Below are 23,893 nucleotides of genomic sequence, written 5' to 3' on the forward strand. Positions count from 1 at the left end.
TTTTTATATATATGAAATTTATTTCTATAAAACAGAAGTTTAATAACATGTATACTTCGTGTATACAATGGAGGTATCTGTGTAAAATGAGTACATTTCCATATGTTTTATGTCTAAAAGAAAAAGAAGCAGAAACAAAATAGAAGCTATATATCAAGATAAATTTTGATGTTAAAGAATGACACAATAGGTCTTCTTTAAAGAATTTGAATGCAGCAGAGGATACTACAAAAGGAAGAAAAGATGACCACAGACAGCAAAAATAACTTCAGAAATAAAAATTCAAACTAGGTAATGAAGAGTGGACTTGACATTATATGCCCAAGGCTTTGTCATTGTTTTCAAAATCATTAAAGAATAAGCGTCCGGGCACGGTGGCTCGTGCCACTTTGGGAAGCTGAGTCGGGCAGATCACGGGGTCAGGAGTTTGAGACCAGCCTGACCAACTTTGCAAAACCTCCTCTCTACTAAAAAATACAAAAATTAGCCGGGTGTGGTTGCACATGCCTGTAATCCCAGCTACTCAGGAGGCTGAGGCAGGAGAATTGCTTGGAGGCATAGGTTGCAGTGAGCCAAGATGGCGCCATTGCAATCCAGCCTGGGAGACAGAGGCACTGTCTCAAAAAAAAAATAATAAATAAAAGTAAAAATAAATAAATAAATAATATTTTGGCATTCAAAAAATTTTCAGATGTTTCTCTTTTATACATATTTTAATACAAATTTTTTCATCCCAACCTCACCCCAGCAGCTCAGCTGACTCCCAACCCCATGATGCACATGCCCATAAAGTTGTGTTGTGAGTTTCTGAAATACATTTTAAAATAGAATTCATTTAATTATGAAAATGGAGACATAAAATGAATTTGTATCTCAGTTTTAGTCAAGTAAAATTAGTGATAAATCAATTAATAAATGATTAACATGTTCTACAATATGAAAACCACACCCAGTTGCCTCTTCTTCTAATTCATGATTTTTCTTTCTTATTTGATTCACATTATACTCCAGTGATGATACTAACTTAAAAAGTTTCCTTAATTCTTCATTTTTTTCTTCAGGCTTAAAAAAAACTGTTTAAAATTATTTTTGTAAAATCTAGAGACCCTCTTTTATCTTAAAAATATTATTTCTCATAAGTTGATAAGTAATATGTATTTAGGCAGGGGTATAAAGTGCATTTTATAAACCTGATGCCAATAAGTGCAGATTTCAAAAACAGTCACTTTTCTTAAAACTGCTAAAAATGATACATACTTTCATTATATTTTCTGAAATTTAAACTGCCAAAAATGTTCGTTACAAACAAGGGTTTTTACACATAAAATACTAAAGGTTAGTAAAAAATGTGTAGTTATATTTACATTTTACTTTTTAAAGATGCTCTAGAAACATTGTCATTAATAGTTTAAGATATTCCAAGTTTTCTTAAATTACATCTTACTAAGACGATTTTTAGAAAACTCTTATCTATTCCCCATTACATTTTTGATCCTCATCTGTCTTCAGGTTGAGCTAAATACTGTCATTCTCTGTAAGTATTCACCCACAGGTTTCAGTTTTTCCCTTTCTCTTAACCCTTTCTCTTTAAATAAAGTTTTTTTCTATAATAAACAAAAACACAACTTTTGTCTACTTTTTGTGGTTTTTCTATTATCCTGTTTCTCCCCTTCCACTGGACTCTGTGACACATGGTCTCATCCAGAAATCTATTTTTCATCACTTATTGTGTTTTTAATATGGAAATCTGATTTTTCATAATTCCAATAAAAAAGTCCAAGGGTCATGAAGGACTTTATCCTCCTTTACTCAGCAGCAGCTGCGAGCAGTGACCAAATGTTCCCTCTGCTCCTCTGACCCCGCTTCATTTCTAAATGCAGCAACCTCTGTTCTTCAGTCCTATTCCTTTCTGTTTGTTTTTGAGATGGAGTCCCCCACTGTCACCCAGGCTGGAGTGCAGTGGCACAATCTCAGCTCACCGCAACCTCCGCCTTCTGGGTTCAAGCGATTCTCCTGCCTCACCCTCCCAAGTAGCTAGGATTACAGGCGTGTGCTACCACACCTGGCTAATTTTTCATATTTTTAGTAGAGATGGGGTTTCACTATGTTGGCCAGACTGATCTTGAACTCCTGACCTCATGATCTGCCTGCCTTGGCCTCCCGAAGTGCTGGGATTACAGGCGTGAGCCACCACGCCTGGCTGCTATTCCACTTTTTAAATTCTCTCAGGACTCCTAAAATCTCAAAACTTTGACCTAGATTCCCTAATCTGCATTTCGAGCTCTGACCTTTTTCTTGAGGCCTCTTCCTTCTAGTACACATATTATAGACAATATTCTCAACCACACGCTCAAGACATTGCTACTTGGTACAGATTACTTTTGTAGATAGTGAATCTTGTCTATTTTATGTTGGTTCTTATTGATGTTACTTTGAGTATACCGTTATTTTCTAATCTTAAAGGGGGACAGTCTCACCATTATGATATTGACCAGTATACTTTGTCCTTTTTTTCTTTCTTTCTTCTTTTTTGGACCAGTATACTTTGTCCCTTTTTTTCTTTTTATTTTTCTTTTTGAGATGGAGTCACACTGTGTCATCCAGGCTGGAGTGCAGCGGCGCCATCTTGGCTTACTGCAACTTCCACCTCCTGGGTTCAAGTGATTCTCCTGCCTCGGCCTCCCAAGTAGCTGGGACTACAGGTGCACACCACCACGCCTGGCTAATTTTTGTATTTTCAGTGCAGACAGGGTTTCACCATGTTGGTCAGGCTGTTTTTGAACTCCTGACCTCAGGTAATCCACCCACCTCAGCCTCTCAAAATGTTGGGATTACAGACGTGAGCCACGGCACCCAGCCCTTTTTTCTTTTATAATGAAAACTTTCCCATGAGAATCAGATTATCAATTGTTTGCCTTTGTTTTATTTTAAAGAGTTTCCTTTTCCAGAGATATGGCATGATGAAAGTCTTGTTCTAAAGTTTCTAAAGTTTCTTTTGGGGGACACTCAAATATATCACTGGGAAGCTCCAGTCAAGTAGACATCTCCCTTCTTCCCATTTGAGATTCTTCATCTCAAAACAGTGTCCACCAAATGTCTTCATCCAGGTAGTCTCTTGCTTAGAAATTCAGGAGATAAGAACCTTCTTGAGAAGTTAGAGGCTATTGATTGAGATGGTTTAATGCTGTCCCTTATTATATGTTTTACTCCCAAGGCAGACATCAAAGTGGCTAACAATACTATGCCTGATGTCTAACTCACTTCTATGGGAATCTATACAAAACGTTTTATTTATGAGACAGAGTCTCACTCTGTTACCCAGACTGGAGTGTAGTGGCTTGATCAACACGCACTGCAGGCTCAATATTCCAAGCTCAAGCGACCCTCCTACCACAGCCTCCCAATGTAGCTGGGACTACAGGCATGCATCACCATGCCTCTAAGTATTTATTTATTTATTTTTTAAAGACAGGTTCTCATTATATTGCTCTGGCTAATCTCAAACTCCTGGGCTCAAGCGATCCTCCTACCTCAGCCTTCCAAAATGCTAGGATTACTTGCATGAGCCACCTCCCCCAACCAGGTGTTTAACTGGGGACTAACATGAAGCACTTACAAGAGTACGTGGAACATAGTGAGCTACATAAAATATTTGCTATTAGCATAATAATTTTATTGTATATCTTAACAAAATTGTGTATGTTAGGCAGGTGGCATGCCAATGAAAGTAGTCTCCTATAGCTGCACTGAATCATTCTTCCCACCACTGAGAGTTGCAGCAAATGGGGGGCATATAATTTATAACTTACTTTTACTTTTCTCTGTGTATGACTCAGTAGGCAATGACTATGTATGTACTACAATGTAAATAGCATCTCCTGGATGGAATAGTACATAACTGACATGACCAGTAGAGACAGGCTAAAGACACTGAGCTTAAAACCCTGGACTCTATTGCTAAACCAAGGCTCCTGAATCTGTTCCCTCTGAGCAACTGTTGCTGTGGTGCTGCCTTCGCAAGCACTCTGCTGAGCACTGAGATTGAGGGGCTGTGCTATCCGTCATCAGACAAGCTGCAGCCAGAACTGTTCAGCTGACAAACTGGGAGCAGTCCAGAAATACAGTAATGGCTGCATAGTGAAAAAAGGCCAATTTAGATTCTTTTTCTTAGAGAGAAAAACATAAACATGTGATTGAACGAGTCTCCTCTATTAGACTAATTGGTTTAGATTTGATATTTAATTGCTAAAAATACATTTAGAATATAAATCTTACTGTGTCAAGGTCTCAAAGAACAAATAATTGGTATGGTATAAAGTATTTAATTGTATGCTAAAAATTTCTAAGCTAAAATATTTTCAATTTATGCAAGGATAGGTGCCATACATATTATATATTATTCCCCCATTAAGCAAATTTATACTGAGACAAAATTATCTTCCATAAAAAAGAAAAAGCCACATAAAATTAAGGACTAAGTTTTTCTGCACAGACTGGACAACAATTCCTAACACATAAGGTCAATGAGAATCAGAACAGTCAGAGAAAGCTTCATAAAAACAAAAAAATTGTCTGCCAGGTCTGAATGAATGAGGCTAGATGAACAGAAACTGAGAAGGCAGAAAGGATAGCATGAGCAAGACAAGTGCTGAAATCTGCCCAATTAACTCTGAGGATAAAGTCCAATGGCAGGGAAATAAAAACACATGTCCACATAATAACCCCTAAGTGAATGTTTGCAGCAGCATTTTTCATAATAGCTAGAAGTGGAAACTAACCTAAATGTCCATCAACTGATGAATGAATGGAAAACCAGTATAGCCATGCAATAGAGTATCATTTAACTATAACAAGAAATAAACTACCAATGTGTGCTAAAACATGCATGAATTCTGAAAACATTAAGCTAAGTGAAAAAGCCAGTCACAAAGGACTATGTATTGTCTAACTCTATGTATATGAAATATGCAGAACAGGCAAACCTATGGAGACAAAAGTAGATGGTGTTTGCCTACAACAGGGGTAGGTGGAGGGACATGGAGGAAGGCTGCAGTCATGCCTAGGAGATGTGGGGTTGCTTTTCAGGGTGATGAAAATGCTGTGAATATACTAACAGATACTGAGTTGCACATTTTAAATGGTTGACCTGTCAGATACATGAATTATATCTCAGTGAAACTGTTTTTAAAATACAATGGCAGGATCAAGATAATTTTCTCAGCTCTCAATTTTTGATGTACATACTATATCAGATCTAAATATTTCTATACTTTTATAGTATATTTTAAATAAAAGGTAAATAAAGAAAATGCCTTACTTTTCAAATAGTTTGTAAATTGACATAAAACATGTACATTTCAAAGAACAGTATAACGGCCTTTCTATACAAGTTAACTTAGAATCTGTGAAATAGACACAGATTCTGTGTCCTTTCACAAAAGTGAAGAAATAAGACAATTTTCTGGAACATTCCATTAAACATTGTCCTCTGATTTAATCTGGCCTGCCTCATCATAGCAATACAAAAATTACTTGAAAATATGTTTAACAGGAAAAAAGTCAATTTTCTCTGAGGAATAATGTATAATTATCAACTTTTCCAAGGGTACATATTGTAAGAGAAAAGGTATGAAATCCTTTTTCAAAATGGTAGAACAAAAGTCACAATATAAAAAAAAAGTACATTATAAAGATAGTAAAATGGAAATAATTAATTATAATGAAAGTACAAAATCAAGCTTCTGCCAAAATTAGTATCCTAAAACATGTTATATAATTCAACCAGCTACAGAATAACTGTCGACATGTTAAATTCCATACATACTTGACTTTCCACTTGAAATAATTTCTTCTTTGAGGCCTGTGTCTCATCCAAATTAATGTGACAACATGATGTACCTTCCAGTGGAGACTCTAACATAGTTAATTTTTTAAGGGAATCAGCCACTTCTTGTTGAAGTTGTCTCACAACCACCTGATAAAATATTTTTGTTGCTGATTTTATAAATTGCCTTATTATTAAATTATGTTAATAACATTTAACTCTAACATACCTACTTTGAAAATTATCTCACACACATCAGTTCACCTTCTTTTCATCACATGTACACATTTTTATTTATTACTGAATTCAGTGAGGGATGCAGAATGTGTTATCCTCCTGCCAAATTGGTGTTCTCTTAATACAACAGATTCATCCCACCATTCAATCATCTTAGAAGCTCAACTCAACCTCAAAGTTCCTAACATAATCAACTGTTCAAATCCTTCCAACAGATTCCTGTCTCAGAATAAAAGTAAAATTCCAATGGCCTCTGAGGCCCTAGGTAAACAGGCCTCTACCTCCCTCTCTGACTTCAAGCTCCTACAACTCCCTCCTATAATTACTCCATTCCCACTGTACGTGAAGCCTGCCACCCCTCTTTAGTCTGAAAATGGGGATCTAATGCCTAACTCATAAATCACAGGCAGCTACAGTATCTTTGTACTGGACAAAGTTATATTCAAATGATAGTCATTGAGCCTTGAAATAAAAATTATGAGCTAATTATTAATAAAAATATTCAAAGTAAATTATGAATACCAGTGGGAAGACTAAATCAAATATAGTTTTGCTAAAATTTACATTTACCCTAAATTATAATTTTATAACAAGTAGGTGCCTTTAAAACATTACATGGTCATAAAAATATGTAATTTGAGACTGACATATTTTCAGATTTAAGTTAAATTAATATGAATAATAATAAAGCTATACCAACTAAAATATATAAAAAACTACTTAAAGCAAGATATTACAAGACACAGCAATACACTTCATCTGGGAAATCTACAATTAAGTGTTGAAGCAAATCAATTAAATTTTAATTTGAAAACACTCATTTCAGGTGTAAACATTTCCATTTATACCTTCATCATGGTCTTAACATGTGGCAACATAAAGACATTAAAATTATTATTTCAGCACTACAGGACTATCTACCTTAAAATATGACTCTGTGCCTAATAAAATGTCATAGGTGACACAATGTCTTCTCTCAAAGTAAATCATCTCTCACCTCTATGGAAACAAGGTATGTTTCTAAGCTGATGTAATAAACACATTTTTCTTTTTTTTTTAAATCAAAAAGCTTTGTTAAAATATAATTTACATACTATAGATGTATCTGTTTTAACATAAAGTTAAAGATTTTCAGTACATTTTCTGAGCTGTGCAGCCATCTCTACAATCCAACTTTAGAGCATTTCCATCACTGCAAGATCCCTCACGCCCATTAGCAGTCACTACCACCTTCCAGCCCCAGCCCTTTGCAAACATTAATCTACTTTTTGTACCTATACATTTCTCTTTTCTGGATGCTTCATGTAAATGGAATTATACAGTATAGTAAACACACTTTTTATCTACTGATTTTTATATTCAACTAGGTTCAACATGTATCCAGAACCAAATGTTTAAATTTTCTTTCTAGAAGTTTGAAAATATTTATTTTCCTTGATACTTACTACTGTTTCTGCTTTCTGTCTCTCATATTGAAAGAGACTTTCTTTTAAATGATCATATTCATTCATTAGCTTCTTATTTTTCTCTTCTAGCATGAGGTCTTTCTACTCTCAATAAAGCCTCTTTGGATATTAATTACTATCTCTTTATGATCCTCTTTCTGATGAACATCAACTAGTTGCTGTTCAAGCCATGGATTTTCACGTTGGAGTTGACATATCCTCTCTTCTACACAGTTCCACTTTCCAGTGGATTTACTGACTTTAGCTTCTGCACTTTGATACATCTCTTTCATTTCCTTTATTTGCTGCTGTGTTTGGCTTAGGTCATTTTGTACAGTTTCTAAAGCCAATGACTTTTTTCTGAGAGTATCTCTTGTCTTACAGAACTTATCTTTTTTTTTCTTGTACCTTTTTTTTTTAATGTTTATTGATCATTCTTGGGTGTTTCTCGGAGAGGGGGATGTGGCAGGGTCATAGGATAATAGTGGAGAGAAGGTCAGCAGATAAACACGTCAACAAAGGTCTCTGGTTTTCCTAGGCAGTGTTTGTGTCCCTGGGTACTTGAGATTAGGGAGTGGTGATGACTCTTAAGGAGCATGCTGCTTTCAAGCATCTGTTTAACAAAGCACATCTTGCACCGCCCTTAATCCATTTAACCCTGAGTTGACACAGCACGTGTTTCAGAGAGCTCGGGGTTGGGGGTAAGGTTATAGATTAACAGCATCCCAAGGCAGAAGAATTTTTCTAAGTACAGAACAAAATGGAGTCTGCTATGTCTACTTCTTTCTACACAGACACAGTAACAATCTGATCTCTCTTTCTTTTCCCCACATTTCCCCCTTTTCTTTTCAACAAAACCGCCATCGTCATCATGGCCCGTTCTCGATGGTCGCTGTCTCTTCGGAGCTGTTGAGTACACCTCCCAGATGGGGTGGCGGGGTAGAGGCGCTCCTCACTTCCCAGACAGGGCGGCCAGGCAGAGGCACTCCTCACTTCCCAAATGGGGTGGCCGGGCAGAGGCGCTTCCCATTTCCCAGATGGGGCGGCCGGGCAGAGGCGCTCCCCACTTCCCAGATGATGGGCGGCCGGGCAGAGGCGCTCCCCCCATCCCAGATGGGGCGGGCGGGCAGAGGCACTCCTCACCTCCCAGACGGAGCGGCCGGGCAGATGCACTCCCCACTTCCCAGACGGGGCGGCCGGGCAGAGACGCTCCTCACTTCCCAGACGGGGCAGCTGCCGGGCAGAGGCGCTCCTCACTTCCCAGATGGGGAGGCCAGGCAGAGGCACTCCTCACCTCCCAGACGGGGTGGCGGCCGGGCAGAGGCACTCCCCACTTCCCAGACAGGGTGGCAGCTGGGCAGAGGCGCTCCTCACATCCCAGACCGGGCAGCCGGGCAGAGGTGCTCCTCACTTCCCAGACAATGGGCAGCCGGGCAGAGGCGCTCCTCAATTCCCAGACAGGGCAGCCGGGCAGAGATGCTCCTCACCTCCCAGATGGGGCGGCCGGGCAGAGGCGCTCCTCACTTCCTCCCAGATGGGGCGGCCGGGCAGAGGTGCTCCTCACTTCCCAGACGGGGCAGCCGGGCAGAGACGCTCCTCACCTCCCAGACGGGGCGGCCGGGCAGAGACACTCCTCACCTCCCAGACAGGGCGGCTGGGCAGAGGTGCTCCTCAATTCCCAGCCAGGGCAGCTGGGCAGATGCTCCTCACATCCCAGACAGGGCAGCTGGGCAGAGGCGCTCCTCACTTCCTAGACCAGGTGGCGGCCGGGCAGAAGCATTCCTCACTTCCCAGACGGGGCGGCTGGGCAGAGGCGCTCCCCACTTCCAAGACAGGGCAGCCGGGCAGAGGCGCTCCTCACTTCCCAGACAGGGCGGCCAGGCAGAGGCGCTCCCCACATCCCAGACGGGGCGGCCGGGCAGAGGCGCTCCTCACTTCCCAGATGGGGCGGCCGGGCAGAGGCGCTCCTCACTTCCCATTTGGGGCAGCCAGGCAGAGGCGCTCCTCACTTCCCAGACAGGGCAGCCAGGCAGAGGCACTCCTCACTTCCCATTTGGGGCAGCTGGGCAGAGGCGCTCCTAACTTCCCATTTGGGGCAGCAGGGCAGAGGCGCTCCTCACATCCCAAACAATGGGCGGCCAGACAGAGATGCTCCTCACTTCCCAGACGGGGTGGCGGCCAGGCAGAGGCACTCCTCACTTCCCAGACGGGTCGGCCGGGCAGAGGGGCTCCTCACATCCCAGACTATGGGCGGCCAGGCAGAGACGCTGCTCACTTCCTAGACAGGGTGGCGGGTGGGCAGAGGCTGTAATCTTAGCACTTTGGGAGGCCAAGGCAGGCGGCTGGGAGGTGAAGGTTGTAGCAAGCAGAGATCCCACCACTGCACTCCAGCCTGCTGTCTTTGTCTGTTCTTTCATTTATGAGAGGAATCCATCGACTTGTTACCTTATCAATAGAATGCTTGTTGTTAACGGCATACACTATACAGACGACATTAGCCTGAGATATTTCTTGATGAAGTTGTTCATCACTCTGTTCTGCTTCTGAGTAATCTATAATGTGTGTTGGAACTCTCTCTGGGGTGACATCAGCTGGAATGGTGATTTCTTCTGCCCGGGGAGGAACCTCTTCTGGAAATTCTTCACTGACCAGACATAATCAGTGACGTCTTCCCAACTCTAGGTTCTCCTACCAGCAGGATCCGCACGTCTTTCTTCATGTCGGCGGCTCTCGGGGGATGGCCTCCGCCCACATGCATGGAGTGGACTCCTCTCACCAGGAGCACCCACCCCAAGGCGCCCCCTCAGTTGCTTCCCCGCAAGAGAGCCGGGACAGCACCAGCTCTGCTTCCTCCAGCCCAGCAGGCTGCAGTGGCGGCGGCGGCCGGAACTTATCTTTTAAGGTATTGAATTTAATTTGCATTTTAGAAAGTTGTTCAGTAAGAAACTAATTCTTATCTTCTACTTCGGAAATATCAGAACTCATTTTTACTTGTTCAGAAACATCTTGTGTTCTCTCTAAAGCAAGTTTCAGGTTTCTTTCTGTTTTCACATTTTCACTGTGTTTACTTATAGCAGCAGCCAGTCTAGACTGATAAGATTCAATTTCAGCTTCCAGTTTTTTCTTGCTTTCTTTTTCCTTCAACAGTTCAGAATTGAGCCTTGTATTCTCAGCTTTGAGATCATTAAGCTCTTGTTGATACCGGAATGCTGTTTTTGTTATCATTTCCTCATTGAGTTTTATACACTTTTCAAGGGCAGCATTTGTTTCTTTAGCAATTTTAATGTCCTTAAGATATTTATTTTCTTTTTCCAGGTTGTCATTTTTCATTATGCATATTTCCTGTCTGAGTATAGCAATATCTGTCTTCAAAATGCAATTTTCATCCATCAGATCTTTCATTTCTTCATGATTATGAAAATCCTAAATAAAACAACAGAAAGTTTTAGCTAGTACTCAATAAAATAACATATCATGATTACCTCTGAAGTTAAAGAATAACCTGCACATCCATGCACTAAAAAGGTTACTGTAAGTGGATATCCAACTGGAGAAAAAGTTGAAGCAAAATTTTGAACCTTATAGAGCATAAATTCCAAAAAGTTCAGAAATTTATTTAAAGTCAATGAATTTATAAAAGTAAACACACACACACACATGCACACCAGAGAATTTTTAAGAATTTCAGAATTGGAAAAGCCTTTCCCTGAATTACAACAAACTCAAAAGTATAAATTAAAGCATTAACAAATTTGACTAAATTAAAATATGTCAAAAAATTGCATTTACACTTTGATATCTAACCTATACACCACCCTATAGTAAGAACCTTAGTTCACACGTATTTGGACAGATGAAATTTCCCAGAGTTATTACAGTTCTGTTTCACTGATAACATTCTATTCCAATTTGACTCTTTTAACACTTTTATAGTCAGTTATAAGAATTACATTTACTAACATAAATCTACACATTATACTAGTCACTCCTATATACATTCATTGATGAACTCATCTAGTTACCATAATTTTGAGAAAGAAAGGTTAAAAATATAAGCAAGCTACAGGATTTTCCCCAGGACTTCTGACTCTACTTCTAGTTCTCCAACAGATCACAGTTACTTCTGTGGTGTAAATATATCCATACGAAAGAAAACTTTTATTTCAAAACACCAGTGGTAAATAAGATAAAATTTATAGACCTCTTCTAAGAATATCATGAGATTATTTGTGATTGCAATAATTTCTGTTTCTTCTTTATAATATTAGGTACAGTAATCAATATGAAATAGGGGAAAGTACAAGAACAATTTTACTGGGAACAAAATCTTTATCAATAAGTTATCACTAAGTATATATTATGGCATATTATTGTTTTCAAAAGCTCTTTGTAATAAAATAATATCCTATGTGGATGCCAAGATTTATAATATATATTAATAATTGTACCTGTAAGTGTCATCACTCATTTTTAAAAATGAGATAACATTTCTGGTTTGTTTTTTACCTAAATAATATATATTAAATCAAGTGGATATTGTAAGTAACACTGATAAAATAAAGTTTAAAATATAGAATTTTTACCAAAGATTGATTTACCTGATTTGGAGTATTTCTTGCAGTCTTCGGTTTCATCTCTAGTGATTGAACAGTTGGTTCAAGTTGTTTTGCTTCAACTTCTTTGTTATATTGTTTCTCTTTCCTTTCTAATTCTTCTCTATTTTTTTTGTACAGCATATTAACATTTGTTTTTTCTTCATTTTCTTGTTGTAAGGTGCATCTGCAGATAAAGACATTTATCTTGAAATTCATTTTGTTAAAAAATAAAGAGTTCATCCTGTTATCTACCTCTGCAGATGTTGTTTATTATCCTAATAAAATTTCTATGTTCTGGATTATTTTTCCTTTGCAGTTCTCAGATATTTAAATTCTCACTTCAACATCTTCAAAAGAATGCATATACTTGAGAAGTAGTAAGGAAAGAATATTCTGCTAAAGGTTTTATTACTAGTGACTCTAGTATATATTATAAAAAAGGATACTGGAGATAATTCAGTAAAGTTACAAGTTCAAAATTACCTTTTCAAATCACACAGTCATAATTACTCCCTAATTAGAAAAGGTCATTTACAATCAACTAAAATTTTAAAGTTACTATTTACTGACAAGTGTATAAGTTCACTAGAAATAAATTTTCATCTTTACGAAATATTGCGGGTGTCTCTCCAAATGATTTACAGAGTAAGATGTCTCTCACAAAAACTATATCTGCAAATGACTGTCATCCAAAACTAGGCTAAAGAGTCTAACATCTGTTACCTCACACTTTTTATAATTCTTTCTTAATACTTTCAATTCACCTTCTTATTACATATATTTTATATATTAATTAGCCTATTGTTCATTATGTGTAATATATAATTAATGCCCTTAATAAGTTTGTGTATGTTTACACAAGTTATGTTTTCCTGGGAAATCTAGTCCCAGAAGTGGAGTTGTTGAGTTAAAGGGATGTCAGGTTATTTGAAATTTTGATACACAGCACTAAGTTACCCTTCACAAATAATTTACCAATTTCATATACCAACAGTGTATGAGAATGCCTTTTTCCTCACATTTGCCAACATGAGTAATTACTTTTTAAATATCAGCATGACTTTACAAAATATATCTTATTTTATGTTAATTTACATTTTTCTGATTACCAGACAGGGCTAAATATCCCTGGTAAAAATATAAAACTTGTTAATCATAAGGAATATTAGTCCAATTTTGAATTAGTTTATAGCACAATGACAATTATCTCCTGTGAAATACTGCTATAGGTGGCCAGGCACAGTGGCTCACTCCTGTAAACCCAGCACTTTGGGAGGCTGAGATGGGCAGAACACCTGAGGTCAGGAGTTCCAGACCAGCCTGGTTAACATGGTGAAACCTCATTTCTACTAAAAATACAAAAAATTAGCCGGGCATGGTGGCACATCCCTGTAATCTCAGCTACTAGGGAGGCTGAGTCAGGAGAATCACTTGAACCCAGTAGGCAGAGGTTGCAGTGAGGGAAGAACACACCATTGCACTCCAGCTTGGGCAACAAGAGAGAAACTCCATCTCAAAAAAAAAAAAAAACCCAAACAAAACAAAACAAAACAAACACACTGCAATAGGCTTACTTACCTATCATGCTCTTCCTTCAGTTTCTTGGGAAATTGCTGAGGCTGTTTTCCTAATCTTTCTTTGTTGGGTTAATCTGTCAGCAGCAGCAGAAGATGTACTATGACATATATTTTCTGATAGTTGTATTTTTTCACTTTTGTATGTATTATTTCCTTCTTTGACCTTTAATAAAAGTAATATGAATAATAATTATTATTTTATTCATAAAAAGAACTTTTTCCCTGATTTTTTCACTTGATTCAGGTTAACTATCACCATTTTAATGATAAAGGTATTTTGTGCTTACTTTAATTTTATCATTATACATAATTATTATAATTATAAGGTACTCACCATTTTATCAATGAAATTTTTGTCAAGTCTGCTCATTTCTGTTTGAGTGAATGGAAGAATTTTCCAAAATTTTAAAAAGTCCTCTTCTCCATTTTGTGCTTTTATTCCCATCCACTCTTTGCTATCTGACATAAATGTTTATGCTATCTGACTGGCAGAAACAGAGAAATAAAAAGACACAGGCATAACATATGTCTTCTGTCTTTACCACCTGGATTTTACATGAAATAGCCAGATTTAGAGGATGTGACTTTGTAGGGCTTCAGGAACAGTAAAGAAGATTTCCCTTTTCTGCACTAAGCTATTCTTTTCCCCAGTGCCTTTTATCTCTCTTTTTTTTTTTTTTTTTTGAATCCTGGGATATCAAAAAAGTAAAGGTGCTCCCTGAACTATGGGAACCAAAGTTTGCCACAACACAAGAAGCAGAGTGAAACTGCTGAGTTTCTAGTGCAGAATTCTGGAAAACGACATGCTTCCCAGATTTCACATTCTATTACCACAAAAGTTTATAGGTGGAAAACATAGGATACAGTTACCTACTTTAGCCCCATTATCTACTGATAATGGGAGTCAAACCAACCAAGACATATTAAATGTTTCATCCAGAGCTCTTGAGGTGGCATTCCCTAGCATTTCATGGCACCATATAACATGATACAATTCCATATTGCTGAATTACATATATTACCAGATAAATTTATCAAATTAAATATATTAAAAGTCTAACTTGAGCAAAGCAATTTAATGCCTCAGAGGGTGGAAAAAGGCCTCATCTGCTTTTACTTTGAAAGAAGAAAATCTCTAGATTTTTGTCTATCTTTAGAACACAATGTACAGAACTCAGCTTTCTACTAAAGAGTCAAAGGCTAAATTTTTGACTAAGAAATTATGCTTCTTACATGATAAAAATCATACATGCCAAAACTTACCATACTTTATTAAACAACATAATGTAAGGTCTGATTCAACAGAAATATTGGAGAGTGGTGATTTTTAAAAATATGTGGAAGTATATATTTGTTTTCAAAATATTGGAAATAACCATGATGGGACTATAAGTTCAAGCAGTTTGAGCTAAGCAGATAAACTTGCATGCATGAAAACATATTAAACAGACTCATTTGGCTGGGAATATTCGTTGCAACTCTCAAGGCTAGACGTGTTTTTGTGGCTCATCTCAGTCATTGCTTCCCTCCCATTGTATTACCATTCTATCATTAAATAAATGTAATTCATCTCTAAATGAATACAGAAAAAAGAATCTAGAATCTAGAGCTTATTTCTTTAGCAATTTCTTTATGTTGATCTGGTTCATAAAGGTCACATGGTATATGGCTGAATTAGTTTCCCAGCTCATACGCCACTTGGAAGACTGATAGGAAGACTTAGGTTGATTAATGAACAAACATTATGAGAACATTCTCCAGAACCATTATTTAGATAGCAAAACTAATCTACTTTGACACACAATTACACATTTAGATAACCCCACTGTAACTGTACACATGAGATTTTCTTGAATAGAAAATCTGACTAAATCAAATAATTGACAAAGAGAAAAAAGCAGCAGCAAGTGAACCTCTGTCTTTTTGAAGTTGGACTTTCTCTTTTTCCAAAGCCAGGAACTCTACTTGTAACATGCTACCTCATTCTTTTTTACTATTTATTATACTTTTAAGTTCTGGTACATGTGCACAACGTGCAGGTTTGTTACATATGTATACATGTGCCATGTTGGTGACCTTGGAATATCTTGCTGTGTCTTCTAGCTATATTTTTGATGTTCTCTCACTATGTGGCAAAGAATAAACCCACACTTTATAATTCAAGATTCATGCTTTTGTAGTTATTAGCACTGGGATTGTCATATAGTGGCTTCTGGAGTAAGCACTGTATTGGTTTTCTGTTTTTATAAGTATCTGTAGCAGCAGAAATACTGTGGCTTTCTATCTGAATCATATGCTTCATTTCTTTGGGGTGGGTAAACCACAAATCAAAAAGACTTTCTGGATCTCTAGACTGAGGCCAATGCCTAATGTCTAATTTCCAATTAGTGGTATTTGGGTTTGTATTTTTTGCCATTTGCATGTGAAACTCTTAATCATCTTTCATTTCAATCATAATTACTGGGTTCCTTAATGTTTCAGTTTCTGTATCATTACAAAAATTTTCATCATCTGTGTTAGAAACAAGCTATGTGTCTGGTTTGTTATCATTTTCATAGTCTGATTTATTTTCATTTAAATGAAGCTTAGAAGATGACTGGTAAGTGTATTTCAGGGACCTGGAGTGTGAATGGAATAAAAAGACATTTGACATGGGATTCCTCTATTCAGGTGCTGCTTGGAATGCCACAGAGTTAGACCCTCCAGATGCATTTTTCTCCTCACAATCAGGGACCTGATTCATCAGATCAGAGGGCACTCCTTTTTCGTTCATCCCTCTTTAGAGTTACTATGTAGAAGCTCTTCCTCAGGGCAAGCAGTAATTTTGGAGTTTCCAAAACCTTTACCAATATTCAGCTTGAACTTGTTTGTAATGAATTTTAAAGAAAGTCGTGAATATACAGATAGATTCCCTTTATCACAATTCTTACCCAGTTCTGGTTCTTGAGGCTTTTTTTTTTTTTTTTTTTTTTTGGCAGGTGCAAAATGGAAAACAAATTTGCTTGTTTTGTTTCTCAGATGTCTTTTCTGTCAGAGTGCATGTTCTAAAATTAGCTTTAATCAAGTATAAACAAATATTAGAAAATAATTAAAATTTAACTGTGAAACTTAATCTGCGTGTTGCCACTCTTCAATTATGGGATTGTAACTAAAAAGTGAAAAATAATTTGCCTTGGCTTAACATAGGACAGAAACATAAACCGGCAAGCTGAACTCTCAGTGTTTGTTTGGACTAAACTTAATGCATTATGTGTAAAGTCTACCAGAAATGAATTCAAAGATGATAGGTAGTATTATAAAAGCTTCCTCTCTTACAAAGACTTTACCTCAGCATACCAGAAAGAGTGAGCCCCTACAGTGCATGTATATTTCTGAAGATTAACTAGAGACTAGGCAAACACTAAATTATTAAGAGCCAAACTGAACACCAATAAGAAAGAGAAGCAAAATTTTAAATTCTAATTCAAATGATATACTATGATATCCACTTCTAATATATTTTAAGTTCCAGTAGTGATAGTGTTTGGATTTTTTTAATTTTAGTAATATTTACTATGTATTTATGTTGAAATAAAGTTATTGTTTGTACCCTGATACCAAAGGTCCCATTCTGCAAGGTAGGATTCTCTTAAAAGGCAACTGGGTTGGTTTTTATGACCCCATTCACTCCCTGAACACAGACACAGAAGTCAACTGGTGACCACAAAACAGAATAAATCTTTAACCTCGGCACTGATGACCAGCAATATAAAACTGCAACATTTGAACCATTGGCAATGATGACTCTTTTAACACTAGTTTAACTCAGCGGCCATCGTTATTAAATTGTTCATAATTTCTATTCCTTAGTAATATGACCCAATATTTCATGTTACCTTCTGTATTATGAGTAAGGTTATACAAATAAAAGAGCAAGATAATTGTGAAAAATTCTTGCCTCAATTCCAAGGGTAAAGACAGCTATGAGTTACTAGAGATAGTAAGAATTACTAGAATAATGAATAAGTTACTAGAGATAGTAAGAATATCTTAAGTTTCATAACTGGTTAAAATGTTTTAAAAATTAAATATAAAATTATGATCTATTGGATTCTAAAGGTATAGTCTAAAAGGTCATGTCATTTGGACTATGCTTTGTTACTAAAGCAAAAAAAAACCTAATATTAAACAAGAAACTTAAATTTTCATATACCTGTGGTTGCTTCTTTTCACTTCTTTCACGTCTTTGTTGCTCTTCCTCTGAAGCCACTGGTAAGGCTTGTTCTGTTGACAAATTCATTGGTTTAGTTCAAATGAACTAAGAACAGTTAGATAAAGACTATAATCTTTATAAAAATAAATAGAAAATAACATTTCTTCGTATTTTATATTTTGAGGGTTTAAATGAAGCTTAATGTTTACTGAAATATTTACTTCTTTAAGAAATACTTCTAATTATCCAAAACTTCAACAAACCATTTGGGGAGACACTAGATATCACCAGGTTCAAGCCATACAAAATCTCAGGGTCACTCACAAATTGTTCCACCCAACATAAATCAACAAAACTGTTGGAAACAAAACAAAATTTTGAAATACAGTCAAAATATACAATGTACATAACAGTATCTTTTTAACAAGACACTAATTGAGTTGGCAGTTACTAATTTGCAAAATTATTGTTTATATCTTAATTAGTGTGCACACCATTTTTTACATCGCAAATGTTTTCCCCCTGCTATTCTGAAAAATTTATTTTCATCTTTTAAGACTCAGAAAGTAGGCTGGACATAATAGCTCACATCTGTAATCCCAGCACTTTGGAAGGCCAAAATAGGAGAATTACTCGAGGCCAAGACTGTAAGACCAGCCTGGAAACCATAGATAACCTTGACTCTACAAAAAATTAGGCAGGTATGGTGATATGTGCCTGTAGTCCCAGCCACTCAAGAAGTTCAGGTGAGAAGATCCCTCGAGCCCAGGAGTTTGAGGTTGCAGTGAGTTTCAATCACGCCATTGCACTCCACCCTGGGTGATAGAGTAAGAACTTGTCTCCAACAACAGAAAAAGAGAAAAAAAAAGGCTCAGAATGCTGTGTGAAGTCTTCCTTGATTCTAGCTATCTTTCTCCACACACACAGGTGTCTGTTTCATTGCGGTCCCTTAGTACTTTGTCAATTTTTCTAGTGTCACTTTACCACCTGAACTGCACATCATGTCTTTACATGTCAATCCCCTTTGCTGCTAGACTGTAGAGGACAATCTTTTGAATCATCTTTGTATAAACAGTCTTAATTTTGCTAAATAATTACTTATTGAGTTCCTGCTAAGTGTTAGGCACTGGGGTATAAGGAAGGAACATAAAAGCTGTCAGGGATGGCTTTCCTAAAGATCATGCATGAGCTGAGAATTAGAGAGTGAGGTTCGCCAGATTAAGTGAGGCAGAGGGCAGGAAAGGGTTAGCACATGCCAGGCAGCAACAAGAGAGGGAGAGAAGCCTCCAAGAGAGTATGTATTTCTCTGCAAAAGAGGAATGGTGAGGGGGCCATTACCAGCAGCTGAGTAATTCCAGAGAAAAAGGCAGATGGGGAAAGGGCTACGGATAGAGATTTGGGCAGAAATCAGTTTCCTTTTCTTTTCTTTTTTTGGGACAAGGTCTTACTCTGTCTCCCAGACTGGAGCACAGTAGCATGATCTTGGCTCACTGCAACCCGGTCTCCTGGGTTCAAGTAATTCTTCTGCCTCAGCCTCCGGAGTAGCTGAGATTACAGGTGCATGCCACCACCACCTGCTATTTTTTGTGTTTTATTAGAGATGGGGTTTCACCTTGTTGGCCAGGCTGGTCTTGAACTCCTGACCTCAAATGATCCACCTGCCTCAGCCTCCCAAAGTGCTGGGATCACAGACATGAGCCACCGTGCCCAACCCAGAAGTCAGTTTCTGAAATCCTTATATAAAGCTTTAAGATGCTTGGACATTAGGTATTCAGGAGTGGTTCATGGATCTATTTACATTAGAGATAATTAACTCTAAATACTGTGAGGAGCATAAAATTCTGAGGCATATAAATAAATGAACAAAGATAAAATATGGCAATGTTGCAAAGATGATGCAGGCCTGAGGAGATGTTTTCAGAAATGATTAGGATACAAGTATCAGTGGCCATTATAAGAATGAATTTTTATTGAATGAATAAATGTATATATCCAGGTCCCTGGAGAAATACCCTCTGCTCATTACTTTACAAATTTTATCAAATGAGAAGTAAGATAATATACATAAACTGTTTCAGTTACTTGTATTTACTTTACACTTTTTCTGTTTCAGTTTTACTGTGCCAAGGAAATGCATTTGGGTTTTGTGTTGGTTGTTGTTGTTGTCATTGTTGTTGTTTTTTGAGATGGAGTTTCACTCTTCCTGCCCAGGCTGAAGTACAGTGGTATGATCTCAGCTCACCACAACCTTTGCTTCCCAGGTTCAAGCGATTCTCCTTGCCTCAGCCTCCCAAGTAGCTGGAATTACAGGTATTTGCCACCATGAACAGCTAATTTTGTGTTTTTAGTAGAGATGTGTTTTTCCATGTTGGTCAGGCTGGTCTCAAACTCCCAATCTCAGGTTATCCACCCGCCTCAGCCTCCCAAAGTGCTGGGATTACAGGCACGAGCCACCGCGCCCAGCCACATATGGGGATTTTGTTTTAAAAGTTCTGTTTCCTGGATCTACCAAGCTCATGAGAAAATAGAAGCAAACAAGTCATCTGCATAAGTAACAAACTTTGGATTTATAGCTTGTCATCACTACTCTAGAAGATTATCATCATGTTTTATAAAACAAAATGTTAATTCTAGACATAAGGGGAAAAAGAAATTAAAACTATAGGGGTGGGGGAAAATATTGCATAATTTATTACTGTTGACCTGATCATATGACTGATTAAGGGCACTGAATTTAACTTGTATGTGAAGTAGACCCCACATTAGCTGCAGTTAATCAGTAGACCAGGTGTTCTAGCAGAATTAAATTTGATGCTCCTGTGTTATCTTTAAATGACACAGCTCTTCTGAAAACCGTACTCCTAGTGTATGATTATCCATTAAGACAAGGTGATGGAATGTGTGAATACAGCTGAGGAGACACCACAAGGCAAATGCTCAATGGTTCCCATTAATATTGGGAAAATCAACACTATAAAACAGAAAGCCATAGGCATTATTTAATATTTGGTTTGGGAAGGTATTTTTAGTGACACTGCATACAGTTGTACTGAATAATTGCAAAATTAGAGATATAAAAATAAAACAAAGGCACATTGTGTTTGAGTAGGGAATCTGTAGATGTCTAGCTGGTTTTCCCATCCAGTCCCAAAATTCTAAATATAATCATGGTACCCACACTCAAATTTATGTTAAATAACAACCTCAATGAAATCACTCTTTCTCCTCATTCTCTTTATTTATATGTTGCTTTCCTTAAGGGAAGAATACAAATGCCTTGCTAAGAACCATTCTGTTTGGTTGTAGCCTGCATAAGGGGAGTAAACACAAAGTACCTTTGATCACAAAATGACTTTTTAAAAGTCAGAACTATGGTAGCATGAAGCCAACCGAGGTAATCTAGAATAAAATTTTCTATGCTTCTTTCCCTTCTTTGCTCTCTTTCTACTCTAATAACTGCGATTCATGCAGGCAATGAAGAGTATAATTCCCTGATAGAAACACAGCTCCAAAATTAATCCTTTCTTTAACTATGAAGTTCGCGTGTCCAAAGTCTGTAGTTGCTGTCTGATTTTTGATCACGGATGGCGATACAGATATTTATCGTCAACTCACAACTTCCCAAATCTTTGAAAAGTCTTACTATTGATGGTTCAACTAGTAGAAACATAATCTAAAATATCTGAAAATAAAGTTTTTATTTATTAGAATGTAAATAGTAATACAAATTGTAATAAGTTGTAAAAGTTCTTTCTTCACTGAAGCAGTACCATGTTGTCTTCTACCCCACAAACACACCACTCCCTCATGGTCTAACATATTTTAAAAGTCCTGTAATTGCTATTAACTCAGACAAGTTTACTTAACTTGTTCTAAGCTTCTGTTATTTACTACAATTTACTTTCAATCACTCAACGATCTCTATTATATATGTTGTTTTCAATGAGAAATTTGTTTATTAGTAATTAAGATTCTTTAGGGATAAGAAAATATTTGAATAACTAAGTTTGTGCATAAACACATAAAGGTCAAATACCCATGACATTATTGTGTATTTCTATGTACTAGAGACAAAAACTTCAAAAAAAATTTTAATGAATATACATTAAATTAAAAACTGCTTTCATTAAACTGATATAATCTTCCCTCAATGCATGAAAGCCTTCAGAATTCACATAAACCAAAGAATTGTATAAAATATAATAGCCTTAAAAATCTTATTTGTAGCTGGCACAGTGGCTCCCGCCTGTAATCCCAGCACATTGGCAAGCCGAGGTGGGCAGATCACCTGAGGTCAGGAGTTTGAGAGCAGCCTGGCCAACATGGTGAAACCCCATCTCTACTAAAAATAGAAAAATTAGCAGGGTATGGTAGCACGTGCAAGTAGTATCGGCTATTCAAGGGGCTGAGGCAGGAGAATTGCTTGAACCTGAGAGGCAGAGGTGGTAATGAGCCAAGACTGAGCCACTGCACTCCAGCCTTGGTGACAGAGCAAGACTCTGTCTCAAAAACACAAACGAACAAACAAAAAACATAATTGTTCCCATATAAGTCTATGTTCACAAAAGATCTGAAGAGTACACACCACCGTGAGACAGGACAGACATATATTTTAAAAGTTATATTCCTGGTTTCTGTAAAAATAAAACGGTTGAATTTAAGCTTTTAAGACAAGTCAAGGAAAAGAGCAAAAAATGCAAAAGTGAAACTTGAAAGGTCATTTCCCCATCAAGGGCTCATGATCACTGGACATTCACAAACTATATTGTTCAAAACATTAGTTCTGAATTTTGATCCGAGTATCCCTAGAGTTTCAGTTTCATTCAAGGATGTCCAAGAGGTCAAATAAGACAATATCATTTGCTATTTTCAGTTTTCTTTTCTGAGAATAGCACAGCAAACTTCTTCAGAGAAATGAATTGTCCTAACTTCATAGGCTAAAGGCTCATGAGTCACAGTTCTAAGGACATTTATAAAATATGGTGGTGCATGCTTGTATTCTGAACTTTTCAACTTTAAACTCTCATGTAGTAAATATTAATTTATACAAACTGACTAAAGAAAAGCCCTCTTAATCTGACATTATTTTTATTTTTCTTTCTTTCTTCATTTATCAGCAACAGGAGAGTCTAACTAAATGTGGTAAAGTGGTATAAGGGAATACAATGAAAAGTATAAAATGAATTAAACCAGAGATAATCATATCAATGTGGATACATCTGGAAAACATAATACAAAATACACCAAAGAAAGTGGCAGAAAGGTATGTAAAGTGTATAACCACTCACATACCATTTTGGGACACAAATAAAAAATTCTGCATATTATTTCTGAGCATCACAATATAGTTAAAGATTTCAAAAGGGCATTGAAATGAAAAACAACCAACTTATGATGTTGGTAGCCGCTATGCAATCACGTTTTAAAAACCTTAACACCAAAAAGGCTCAAAATCACCGTTTTAAAAGACTGTGTCTACCAGTTATAAATGAATAATTACTTTCCTCATTTTTAGTAGTCAAAGATGCCACAAACACACACATACACACACCTATACATCCACATCCACACACAGTCTTGCTCACTAGAACATCTGATTGGCTTCAGATCATCAGTGTAATAACACTAGCAGCAAGCCTCTAAAGTTAAAACAGAAACTGACACGTTAATAAGAAAAGCTTTCCTCTACGTAAAGATCAGAGCGCCAACTAGCACATAAATCAATGGAAATATCTTAGAGTCTCAAAATTCAGTGCTTTTAATCCCTGACAAGTATAAAAATTTTATACTGAAAACTTCATGCTATTCAAAACATTAAAAGAGAAACATCTGAGTTAAAGCTTACATTTTTAAAATCTTTTTTATGCTTCTAAATTTATTGTTATTCAAATATGGATACCAACAATAACATTTACGTCAATGCCTTCCATTCAGTTTTGAACAAACAGAATTAGGGGTAAGAATAATGTGAGTACTTCCAATCATTGAATGTACTTATTTCCGGCATTCCATTTGTATTGAAT

The 23,893-nt window shown here is 37.1% G+C and overlaps 2 pseudogenes across 1 annotated transcript in view; both read right to left on the reverse strand.

Moving 5' to 3' along the window:
- The window catches only part of ANKRD20A9P (ankyrin repeat domain 20 family member A9, pseudogene), a 60,825-nt pseudogene that overhangs the window by 16,730 nt on the left and 20,202 nt on the right, over positions 1–23,893 (reverse strand). Inside the window, exons 9-15 of the transcript NR_138091.1 lie at positions 17,871–17,941; positions 13,680–13,841; positions 12,105–12,285; positions 10,397–10,929; positions 7,507–7,953; positions 5,837–5,974; positions 950–1,055 (exon numbers count right to left, since the gene is read on the reverse strand). The product of NR_138091.1 is annotated as an ankyrin repeat domain 20 family member A9, pseudogene (transcript). The remainder of the gene's footprint in view (positions 1–949; positions 1,056–5,836; positions 5,975–7,506; positions 7,954–10,396; positions 10,930–12,104; positions 12,286–13,679; positions 13,842–17,870; positions 17,942–23,893) is intronic.
- Positions 9,895–10,390, reverse strand: RHOT1P3 (ras homolog family member T1 pseudogene 3; annotated as a pseudogene).

This window comes from Homo sapiens, chromosome 13, assembly GCF_000001405.40.
Source record: "Homo sapiens chromosome 13, GRCh38.p14 Primary Assembly".
Lineage (NCBI taxonomy): Eukaryota > Metazoa > Chordata > Mammalia > Primates > Hominidae > Homo > Homo sapiens.